This window comes from Homo sapiens, chromosome 22, assembly GCF_000001405.40.
Source record: "Homo sapiens chromosome 22, GRCh38.p14 Primary Assembly".
Taxonomy (NCBI): Eukaryota; Metazoa; Chordata; class Mammalia; order Primates; family Hominidae; genus Homo; species Homo sapiens.
Window position 1 is genome coordinate 42,044,485 of NC_000022.11, and position 12,460 is coordinate 42,056,944.

At 40.5% G+C, this 12,460-nt stretch overlaps 1 protein-coding gene across 2 annotated transcripts in view, besides 1 other annotated feature; it reads left to right on the top strand.

Moving 5' to 3' along the window:
• The window catches only part of WBP2NL (WBP2 N-terminal like), a 59,584-nt gene that overhangs the window by 45,697 nt on the left and 1,427 nt on the right, over positions 1-12,460 (top strand). The window lies entirely within an intron of this gene.
• Positions 3,170-3,279: an enhancer, noted in NCBI's record as "active region_19152". NCBI's record gives its function as "activates an Ori minimal core promoter by ATAC-STARR-seq in GM12878 lymphoblastoid cells {active_cell/tissue: GM12878}" and the evidence as "EXISTENCE:reporter gene assay evidence [ECO:0000049][PMID:35858748]".

Consider the following 12,460-nt stretch of genomic DNA (forward strand, 5'->3'; position numbering starts at 1 on the left):
TCGTTCTTTGAAAAGATGAATAAAAATTTTGGTTTTGGCTAGGTACAGTGGCTCATGCCTGTAATCCCAGCATTTTGGGAAGCCAAGGCAGAAGGATTGCTTAAGCCCAGGAGTTCGAGACTAGCCTGGGCAACGAGGGGAGACCCTGTCTCTACAAATAATAAAAAACTTTCACTGGACATGGTGGTGTGTGCCTGTTAGTCCCAGCTACTGGGGAGGCTGAGGCAGGAAGATTGCTTGAACCCAGGAAGTCAAGGCTGCAGTGGGCCATGTTCATGCCACTGCATTCCAGCATGGGTGACAGAGACTGTGTTTCAAAAAATAAATTTTTAAAAATTTATTTTGTAGAGATGGATGTCACTCTGTCACCCAGGCTGGAGTGCAGTGGCTTAATCATAGCTCACTGTAACTAGGAACTCCTGGGCTCAAGTTGATCGTCCTGCCTCAGCCTCCTGAATAGCTGGGACTACAGGCACATGCCACACCTGGCTAATTTTTTTTTCTTTATTTATTTTTTATTTTTTTAAGAGAGATGGGCATCTCACTATGTTGCCCGGTCTGGTCTTGAACTCCTGGCCTTAATCAATCCTCTTGTCTCAGTCTCCCAAAGCACTGTGATTAGAAGCATAAGCCACTATGCCCAGCCTAAAATCAATAAAATTTTAAAACCTCGGCCGGGCGCGGTGGCTCACGCCTGTAATCCCAGCACTTTGGGAGTCCGAGGCGGGCGGATCACGAGGTCAGGAGATCGAGACCATCCTGGCCAACATGGTGAAACCCCGTCTCTACTAAAAAAAATACAAAAAATTAGCCGGGCATGGTGGTGGTCGCCTGTAGTCCCAGCTACTCTGGAGGCTGAGGCAGGAGAATGGCGTGAACCCAGGAGGCGGAGCTTGCAGTGAGCCACTGCACTCCAGCCTGGGCGACAGAGCGAGACTGTCTCAAAAACAAAACAAAAAACAAAACAAACAAACAAAAAACAGCCTCTCGCCAGGCTAACTAAGGAAAAAGGACAAATTTCTGTGAAGTGAAATTTCATAGAAATGAAAGAGAAAAATCACTGTTGATCCCATGGGCATTACAAGGATTATAAGGAATATTGTGAACAGCTCTCTGCCCACAAATTCGATAACCTAGATGAAATGGACTAATTCCTTGAAAGAAACTCACACAAGAAGAAACAGACAATCTCAATAGCCCTATATGTATTTTAAAAATTGAGTCAATAATTAATAAACTTCCAAAAAATAAAGCACCAGGCTCAGGTGAGTTCACTGGTAAATTCAATATGTTCCAGAAAATAGGAGGAGAGACTTGCATGGTTCATTAAAGTTCAAATTATAACTGATTTACATTTTCAACTATATTTACTTTTAAAATGCTTGACTTTCCCATTTTAAAATCTAAACTAGACATCTTAATTGGTGAAAGTTGTTGAAGCTACTTGTTGATAGACACATGCTGTCAAGTGAAGTAGTTTTATAGGTATGGGTTTTTTCTCCTCCTCCACCAGGGTGGGTGGAATAAGTTGATTTGGCCAATGTGTAATATTTAAACTGTTTTGTAAAATAAGTGTCTGGCCATTTGGTAGGATTTCTATGTGTGAAAGGTCCCAGAATCAAAATGGTACATCCATAATCAACCATTTAACCTTCTTTGTTCTAAAACAAACAAAAACCAAAGGGCACTGGTTGGTAGGGTGAGGTGGGGGAGTATTTTAATTTTTGGAATTTGGGAAGCAGACAGCTTTACTTTATAAGGTTGGAACAGCAGCACTATCCATGAAATATAAACCAAAAATCTTTACTGTTTCTAAATTTCCTAGATTGCTATTATTTGGTCCTAAGTTGAGTATTCCACAGAAAGTGGTAATTATCTTTTCTCTCTTCCTCCATTAGAAAATTAGGTTAATAATGGATTCCTATAATGGGAGCATCACCACTTACTAAAACACACATAGAATGATGAATAAAAAAATTTTTCTAGGATTGTCTTTTATTCTGCCACATTTATTGATAAACAGTGAAGAAATTTTTTAAAAAGTTTTATGAATTTTTTGTCACATCATTTTTAGAAATGTTCTACCTGTATATGGTAATGTCCCATTTTAAAAATATTGGACATCTTCAATCTTAAACATTTCTATTTAGCTGATTGGTTCTCACATATACTTCTAAAAGAGAAATTTTATGTTATAAGAGTTACTTTTTTGGATTAGATTTATTAATCTCAGTGATGTACTATTCTGACATTTTAGGAAGGAGGTAATTGTTTTTAATGATGGATAAACTTGCTGGTGTTTTGGATCTTACGATGCTGAGCATGTTCTGCACTGGTGCTAATGTCTAATATAATTTTATATTTACAAACATACGTGCTACCCAGAGATTAATTTAGTCCACAGAAACTATTGACCCCTCTTGAGATGACAACATATACACTCCTAAATCAGTGTGTTTAGACTTTTCAGGTATCTAACTCATTTCCAAACATGCAGCATGTTTATAAACCTCTTGATTTCCAGCAACATACTATAGAAAACACCTGCTATTCAAAACACAACTTCTCAGTGTCATCCATTGCTGTCGTGAGAGACAACATAGCAATATCTGGTATGTTGCAAGCTTTCAAGATAGCCTGAACTTAAAAAGTTGGTCCATTAGTTGTATCTGATGGATATATAAATTTGCCTCCTAGTTCACTTTGTGTCAAGAGCTAAAACTGTGAGCCTAACTTTCTCTTACTGGTGGGTAATAACTGAAAATAAAGATTTATTTTCAAGCTCAAAAAAAAAAAAAAAAAAAAAGAAAATCGGAGCAGAGAGAAACACTTGCTGACTCATTCTCTGAGACCAAAAATATGTAAATACCAGAACCATGGCCAGATGTGGTGGCTCATGCCTCGAGACCAGCCTGGCCAACATGGTGAAACCCTGTCTCTACTAAAAGTACAAAAATTAGCCTGGTGTTGTGTCGGGTGCCTGTAATCCCAGCTACTCGGGAGGCTGAGGCAGGAGAATCGCTTGAACCTGGGCGGCGGAGGTTGCAGTGAGCTGAGATCACGCCACTGCACAGAGCGAGTCTCATCTCAAAAACAACAACAAAAAACCCCCCGCCTCCCAAAAAAAACCAATCAAATTTTTTTTTTTTTTTTTTGAGACAGAGTCTCACTCTGTTGCCCAGGCTGGAGTGCAGTGGCGCCGTCTCAGCTTACTGCAAGCTCCGCCTCCCGGGTTCACGCCATTCTCCTGCCTCAGCCTCCCCAGCAGCTGGGACTATAGGCGCATGCCACCACACCTGGCTAACTTTTTATATTTTTAGAAGAGACGGGGTTTCACCGTGTTAGCCAGGATGGTCTTGATCTCCTGACCTTGTGGTCCGCCCAATCTCGGCCTCCCAAAGTGCTGGGATTATAGGCGTAAGCCACTGCACCCAGCCTAAAACCAGTCAATATATTTTTAGAAAGAAAATCTGCAGACCAGTATCTCTCATAAACATAGATGCAAAAATCCTCAAAACAAAATATTAATAAACGGAATCCAAGAATATATTAAAAATACACCATGACCAAGTAGAATTTATCCAGGTGTGCAGAACAGTTTCAACATTTGAAATTAATATAATCCATCACATCAACAATCTAAAGAAGAAAAATAGGCTGGGTGCGGTGGCTCACACCTGTAATCCCAGCACTTTGGGAGGCCAAGGCGGGCAGATCACAAGGTCAAGAGATCAAGACCATCCTGGCCAACATGGTGAAACCCTGTGTCTATTAAAAGTACAAAAATTAGCCGGGCGTGGTGGTGCACACCTGTAATCCCAGCTACTCGGGAGGCAGAGGTTGCAGTGAGCCGGGATTGCACCACTGCACTCCAGCCTGGCAATAGAGCAAGACTCCATCTCAAAAAAAAAAAAGAAGAAAAATATATCAATAGATACAGAAAAAGCTCTTAAAAAATCTAGCTTCTCTTCATGATAAAAAGCCTCAGCAGGCCGGGCACGGTGGTTCATGCCTGTAATCCCAGCACTCTGGGAGGCTGAGGCAGGTGGATCATGAGGTCAGGAGATCGAGACCATCCTGGCTAACACAGTGAAACCTTGTCTCTACTAAAAATACAAAAAATTAGCCGGGTGTGGTGGCGGGTGCCTGTGGTCCCAGCTACTCTGGAGGCTGAGGCAGGAGAATGGTGTGAACCCAGGAGGCGGAGCTTGCAGTGAGCCAGGATCACGCCACTGTACTCCAGCCTGGGCGACAGAGCGAGACTCGGTCTCAAAAAAAAAAAAAAGAAAAGAAAAAAAAGAAACCCTCAGCAAACTAGGAATAGAGGGGAATATCCTCAGCTTGATAAAAAACATTGTCCAAAAACTAAAAACCCTACAGGTGACATAAAACTCTGTGGTGGCAAATGAGATGCTTTCTTGCTAAGATCAGGAATAAGGCAGTGTCCCCTCTCACTATTCCTATTCTATTGAACCTCCTGTTGGAAGTTCTGGCTAATCCAGTAAGATAAGGAAAGGAAATAAAAGGCATATATATTCAGAATGAAGGAACAACCTACTTTGTTCACAAATGACCAACACAATACTGAAAAGAACAAAGTCAAAGAACTGATCCTTTAAGACTTGCTGTAAAGTTATAGTAATCAAGACAATGTGGTATTAGCAAAGCAGCAGACAAGTAGATTAGTGGAACAGAAGAGTCCAGAATGTACCGCACAAATATAGCCAACATGTTTTACAAAGGGACCCAGGTAATTCAATGGAGAAAGGATAGTCTTCCCAAGTGGTACTAGCGCAATTGGACATTCATATTTCAAAAGAAAAAAAAATCTAGACACAGACTTTACACTTTTCATAAAAATTAACTCAATATAGACCTAATTGTAAAACACTAAGCTATAAAAATTCTAGAAGATAACATAGGAGGCCGGGCACGGTGGCTCATTCCTGTAATCCTAGCACTTTGGGAGGCCAAGGTGGGTGGATCACGAGGTCAGGAGATTGAGACCATCCTGGCTAACACGGTGAAACCCCGTCTCTACTAAAAATACAAAAAATTAGCCGGGCGTGGTGGCGGGCACCTGTAGTCCTAGCTACTCAGGAGGCTGAGGCAGGAGAATGGCATGAACCCAGGAGGCAGAGCTTGCAGTGAGCGGAGATCATGCCACTGCACTCCAGCCTGGGTGACAGAGCGAGACTCCGTCTCCAAAACAAAACAAAACAAAAAAAAAAAAAAAAAAAAAAAAAATAGAACATTTTGGCTTTTCCAGTGAGTCTTTAGAAACAACATCAAAAGCATGAAAAAAGAAAAAAATAATTGATAGGTTGAATACAAATACAAAATTTAGCCAGGCATGGTGGCACATGCCTATAATCCCAGCTACTGGGGAGGCTGAGGCAGGAGAATTGCTTGAACCTGAGAGGCAGAGGTTGCAGTGAGCCAAGATTGTGCCATAGCACTCCGGCCTGGGCAAAGAAGCGAGACTCCGTCTCAAAAAAAAAAAAAAAAAAAAAAAAGTGGCACATTTTGGTGTGGCACATTCTGCCATCTTTTATATCTAAAATTTACAGGTGGCTCATGCCTGTAATCTTTGGGAGGCCGAAGTGGGAAGATTGCTTGAGGCCAGTTTAAGACCAGTCTGGGCAACATAGTGAGACCCTGTCTCTACAAAAAACTACAAAAATTAGCTGGGCATTCCTATAGTCCTAGCTACTCGGGAGGCTTAGGTGGGAGGATTGCTTGAGGCTGCAGTGAACAATGATTGTGCCAGTGTCTTCTAGCCTGGGTGACAGAGGGAGACCCTGTCTCTAAAAACAAACGAAAAATCCAACTCTTACAACTCAATAATTAAAAAAACAAAAAACAAAAAAAACAACCTGGGCCAGGCATGGTGGCTTATGCTTGTAATCCCAGCACTTTGGGAAGCCGAGGCAGGCGGATCACCTGAGGTTAGGAATTTGAGACCAGCCTAGCCAACATGACAAAACCCCGTCTCTACTAAAAATATATAAAAATTAGCTGGGTGTTGTGGCGCTTGCCTGTAATCCCAGCTACTCAGGAGGTTGAGGCAGGAGGATCTCTTGAACCCAGGAGGTGGAGGTTGCAGTGAGCCGAGATCATGCCACTGCACTCCAGTCTGGGCAACAGAGTGAGACTCCATTCCCCCGTCCCCTCCCAAAAAAAAAAACTAATTAAAAAATGGATAAAAGACCCAAACAGACACCTCACCAAAGAAGATAAACAGATGGCAAACACACATATTAGAAGATGCTGAACATCATATATCATTAAGGAATTGCAAATTAAAACAGATACTATTATACACCTATTACAATGGCTAAAATCCAAAATGCTGACAACACCAAATTCTGGTGAGGATGTGGAGCAACAGGAACGTTCATTGCTTCCTGGGAGTACAAAATGGTACACTTTAGTAAGAAACTGCCAAACTGTCTTCCAAACTAAATATACTCTTACCATATGTCCCAGCAATTGTGCTCCTTGGTATTTATCCAAATGAGTTGAAAATCTATGTCCACAAAAATCTGCACTCAAATATTTATAGCAGCTTTATTCATAATTGCTGAAACCTGGAAGCAACAAAGATGTCCTTGAATAGTTGAATGGATAAACAGTGGTATATCTATACAATGGGATATTATTCATTTAAGCACATTGCTTAAAAAGTAATGTACTATCAAACCATGAAAAGATATGGAGGAACCCTAGATTCATATTGCTAAGTGAAAGAAGCCAATCTGAAAGGCTATTTACTGTATGATTCAAACTCTGTGACATTCTGGAAAAGGCAAAACTATGGAGACAGTGAAAAGATCAGTGATGGCCAGGAGTGGGGGAGAGGGAAGGGAGGGAGGGATGAACCAGGTGGAACAAGGATTTTTAGGGCAGTGAAACTATTCTGTATGATACTGTAACAGTGGGTGTGCCTCATGACACATTAGTGAAAACCCAGTGAATGTACAGCATAAAGAGTGAACCCTAATGTAAACCCTAATGTAAATTATGAACGTTTGCTAATAATGTATCAGTACTATCAATTATAACAAATCTGCCACATTAATGCAGGATGTTAACAATAGGGGAAACAGTGAGTGAAGAGAGGGTATATGGGAACTCTGCATTTTCTGCTTAATTGTTCAGGAAACCTAAACCTGGTCTTTAAAAGGCTGGGGTCAGGGGAGGGATGGGAAGCCCATTTAGAGGGAGAGACTGATTTCCCACAGCTTTTTAAATGTCTGAGGGCTCCCAAGCTAGGTGGCAAAAACCACCATGTAGAAAAGCCTGGGCCTGAGTAACTACTTATTCAGGTGCCATTCTCAGTGCTTTACATAAATTAGCTCACTTAATTCCTGAGCGATAATCCCATGAGGTAGGAACTATTATCCCCACTATAAAGGAAGTAGAATATTATAATACATTATCCCCATTATAGAGGAAGTAGAAGCACAGAGAGATTAAGTAGGGTGCTCAAGATTGCACAGCTGTAAGTGGAGCAAGGATTTAAATCTAGGTATTAGGATATACAACTAAATTACCATCTTATTCTCATTCTATAAACCGGTCAGTCTTTTTAGTAAGGAAAATCATCTCAATTTATTATTTTACACACCCCAAGTCAGTGCAGATGGCTTTGTTCCAACCTGGAGAGGTAAAGGGTCTTTGTAGAGGTAAAGGTCTGTCTTTGTAGGCCTTCACATACAGCCTCTCCAGGGACTGTCTTGAGGAATACTTTCTGAGAACTTCTTGAAGCTCTTTAAACAGGAACCAACTTGTATTTTTTTTTCCTCTTTTTTTTGAGATGGAGTCTGGCTCTGTCACCCAGGCTGGAGTACAGTGGTGTGATCCTGGCTCACTGCAACCTCCACCTGGTTCCAGCGATTCTTGTGCCCCAGCCTCTCGAGTAGGTGGGACTACAGGTGTGTACCACCATGCCCAGCTAATTTTTTGTATTTTTAGTAGAGACAGGGTTTCACTATGTTGGCCAGGCTGGTCTCGAACTCCTGACCTCAGGCGATCCACCCACCTTGGCCTCCCAGAGTGCTGGGATTAGAGGCATGAGCCACTGTGCCAGGCCTGGAACCCACTTGTATTTTTTCCTTGGAGTCCAGAAATTCTAGACTGTTGCTGGAAATAAGAGTGGCAAAATAGGTACTTTTCAACAATTTCTAACACTTTTGTCTATTTTTCCAATGTGTCTTTGGCCTGTGCATATTGCCTTGGCAGCCCCTCCCAATGGTCACTGAGTCCTGGAGATCTGGCCAGTCCTTCTTCATCTTCACTGCGATCACCCCTGTCCCAGCCTCCCTGTCTCTCACCTGGATCCTTGAACAGCAGCTAATTGTAGGCTCTCTGTATACCTGAAAGGCTCCAGTCAGGAGGCAAAAGCCATGTGTTATTTGTACAGAAAGATAGGCAACCGTAAGTACTGTAATTCCAGAACATCTTCATTACCTAAAAAGAAACCCCATAACCATTAGCAATCACTTCTCATTTCCTCTTCCCTCCATCCCTTGGCAACCATTTATCTACTTTTTGTCTCTGTAGGTTTGCCTATTCCAGACATTTCTTATAAATGGAATAATACAATGCATGTACTTTTGTGTCTGGCTTTCACTTAGCATAAAGTTTTCAAGGTTCAACCGTGTTGTGGCATGTGTCACTATGGATATACTGTGTGGATTGCATGGATATAACACATTTTGTTTATCCATTCATCAGTTGATAGACGTTTGAGTTGTTTATACTTTTTGGCTATTATGAATAATGCTATGAACATTCACATACAAGTCTTTGTGTAGGCATATTTTTAAATTTCTCTTAGGCATTTACCTAAGAGTGAATTGCTGGATCATATGGTAACTCTGTTTAACATTTTGAGGAACTGCCAGGCAGGTTTCTACAGTGACTGATGACTAACAATGTAACATGGGCATCTTTTTTTTTCCTCTTTTTCTTTTTCTTTTTCTTTTTTTTTTAAGACCAGAGTCACTCTCACCCAGGCTGGAGTGCAGTGGCGCGATCTCAGCTCACCACAACCTCCACCTCCCAGGTTCAAGCAGTTCTCCTGCCTCAGCCTCATAAGTAGCTGGGACTACAGGTGCATGCCACCATGCCTGGCTAATTTTTGTATTTTTAGTAGAGACAGGGTTTTACTATGTTGGCCAGGCTGGTCTCGAACTCCTGACCTCATGATCCACCTGCCTCGGCCTCCCAAAGTGCTGGAATTACAGGCATGAGCCACCACACCTGGCCAATGTTGGGCATCTTTTCATGAGCTTATTAGCCATTTGTATAACTCTTTGGAGATATGTCTATTCAAATTCTTTGTCTATTTTTAATTAAGTCATTTGTCTTTTTATTAAGTTGTATATATCTGGATACTAGACCCTAGTTGGAGTATATGATTTACAAATGCTGCATCCCATCCTGCGAGTTGTCTTTTAACTTTGTTTATTTTTTATTTAAAAAAAAATGAGACAAGGTCTTACTATGTTGCTCAGGCTCTTGAACTCCTGGCCTCAAGTGATCCTCCCATCCCAGCCTCCCAGTGTGCTGGGATTACAAGTGTATGCGACTGTGCGGGGCCTCTTTTAATTTTCTGGATAGTATACTTTGACACAGAAAAGTTTTGAATTTTGATCAAGTCCAACTTATCTATTTTTTTTGATTGCTTCTGATTTAAAAAAAAAATTTTTTTTTTGAGACAGAGTCTCACACTGTCACCCAGGCTAGAGTGCAGTGGCACGATCACTGAAACCTCCACCTCTCAGGTTCAAGCAATTCTCCTGCTTTAGCCTCCTGAGCAGCTGGGATTACAGGCGCATGGCACCATGCCCAGGTAATTTTTTTTTTTTTTTGTATTTTTAGTAGAGATAGGGTTTCACCTTATTGGCCAGGCTGGTCTCAAACTCCTGACCTCAGGTGATCCACCTGCCTTGGCCTCCCAAAGTGCTGGGATTATAAGCATGACCCACCGTACCCAGCCTGTTTCTGATTTTAGTGTCCTATCTAAGAAACTGTGGCATAATCTAAAGTCACTAAGATTTATACTTATGTTTTATTCTAAGAGTTTTATAGTTTTCAGTCTTACATTTAGGTCTTTTAACCATTTTGAGTTACATTCATTTTTTTTTACATGTGGATATCTAGTTGTCCCAGTGCCATTTATTTAAAATACTATTTTCTAATTGAAGGGTCTTAGTACCTTTGTAAAAAAAAAAAAAAAATCAATTAACTGGCTGGATGCAGTGGTTCATGCCTCTGATTCCAGTGCTTTGGGAGGCCAAGGTGGGAGGTTCGCCTGAACCCAGGGGTTTAAGCCTGCACTGAGCTATGTCACACTAGTACACGCCAGCCTGGGCAACAGAGTGAGACCTGGTGTCTAAAAAAGAAAAAAAATCAATTAGCTATAGATGTATGGGTTTATTTCTGGACTCTCAACTGTATGTCTATTGTTATACCAGTACCACACTGTTTTTATTACTGTAGCTTTTTGGTAGATACTGAAATTGAAAGTGTGTGTCCTCTTTTTCTTTCTTTTCTTTTTTTTCTTGAGATGGAGTTTTGCTCTGTCACCCAGGCTGGAGTGCAATGGTGTGATCTCAGCTCACTGCAACCTCTGCCTCCTGAGTTCAAATGATTCTCCTGCATCAACAGGCACCCACCACCATGCCCAGCTAATTTTTTTTTGAGACTGAGTCTCGCTCTGTCGCCCAGGCTGGAGTGCAGTGGCGCGATCTTGGCTCACTACAACCTCCGCCTCAGGGTTCAAGCGATTTTCCGCCTCAGCCTCCAGAGTAGCTGGGATTACAGGCGCCTGCCACCAAGCCTGGCTAATTTTTGTATTTTTAGTAGAGATGGGGTTTCACCATGTTGGTCAGGCTGATCTGGAACTCCCGACCTCAGGTGATCTGCCCGACTTGGCCTCCCAAAGTGCTGGGATTACAGGTGTGAGCCACCGTGCCTGGCAATTTCAGTCTTTTACAATTTAGTGATACTTATTTTATGGCCTAACATATGGTCTGTCCTAGAGAATGTTTCATTTGTACTGAGAAGAATGTATATTCTGCTGCTATTGGGTGGAATGTTCTGTAAATGTCTGTTAGGTCTAATTGGTTTATAATTAGTATTGGTAATATAATTGGTAACATTTATTGTTGAATTATCTATTTCTGTATTCAATTGTGTCTGGTTTTGCTTTATATATTTGGACTCGTTAGGTATGCTAATGTGTAAAATTATATCTTTTTTGGTGGATTGATCTTCTCAATTTTATAAAATCTTTTGGATCTAGTAACAATTTTTGTCTTAAAGTCTTTTTCTGATATTAACATAGACCCTCCCCCCAACCCTAGTACTTTTGCTACCATTTGCTTGGTGTATCTTTTTCTGTCCTTTTACTTCCAACTTATGTCTTTGAGTCTAAAGTGTCTCTTAAACAAAGCACATTTTTGGATTGTGTGTGCACTTGGGTGTGTATCTTTTAAATGCATTCTGTCGATCTATGTTTAATCCATTTACATGTAATTATTGATAAGGTTTATACATTTGTCATTTTACTATTTGTGTGTTATGTCTTAAGTCTCTTTTGTTCCACATTTCTTCCATTACTGCCTTTTTTGTGTTAGACATTTTATTTTGTACCATTTTATCTCTATCATATATTTACTAGATTTTTAAAGTTTTTTTGTGGTTGCCATAGGGATTACCATTAACATCTTATTCTGAACTATCTCATTCTGATTAATACTAATTCATGCCACTTGTATACAAAAATTTTGCTTCTTATATAGCTGTTCCCCTCCTCCTTTATGCTGTTATTGTTACAAATGACATCTTTATACATAGTCTACCCATCTTAGTTTATAATTACTGCATTTAAGTTACCTTTTAAATCAGATGGGGACAAAAAATGAGTTACAAACCAAAATCATTTATATTTACTTATGTAGTTCCATTTACTGGTGCTCTTTATTTCTCCATGTGGATTCAAGTTACTAGTTTCCTTCCATTTTGGCCTGAAGGATGTCCTTTAGTATTTTATGTAGGGCAGGGTGGCTAGAGATGAACTCTGTTTTTGTTTATCTGGGAATGTTTTCATGTTGCCTTCATTTTTGAAAGATAGTTTGGCCAAATAACAAATTTTTTCATAGTCTTTTTCTTTCAACACTTTGAATATGTCAACCCACTGCCTTTTTTTTCATTTTTAATTTTTGTGGCTGCATAGTAGGTGTATATATTTATGGAGTACATGAGATGTTTTGATACAGGCATTGCATTCCTGTAATAATCACATCATGGAAAATGGGGTATCTAGTGCCTCAAGCATTTATCCTTTGTGACAAACAATCCAATTATACTTAGTTATTTTTAAATGTACCCATTGCCTTCTTGTTTCCATGGTTTCTGATGAGAAGTCAGTTGTAAATCTTATTGAGAC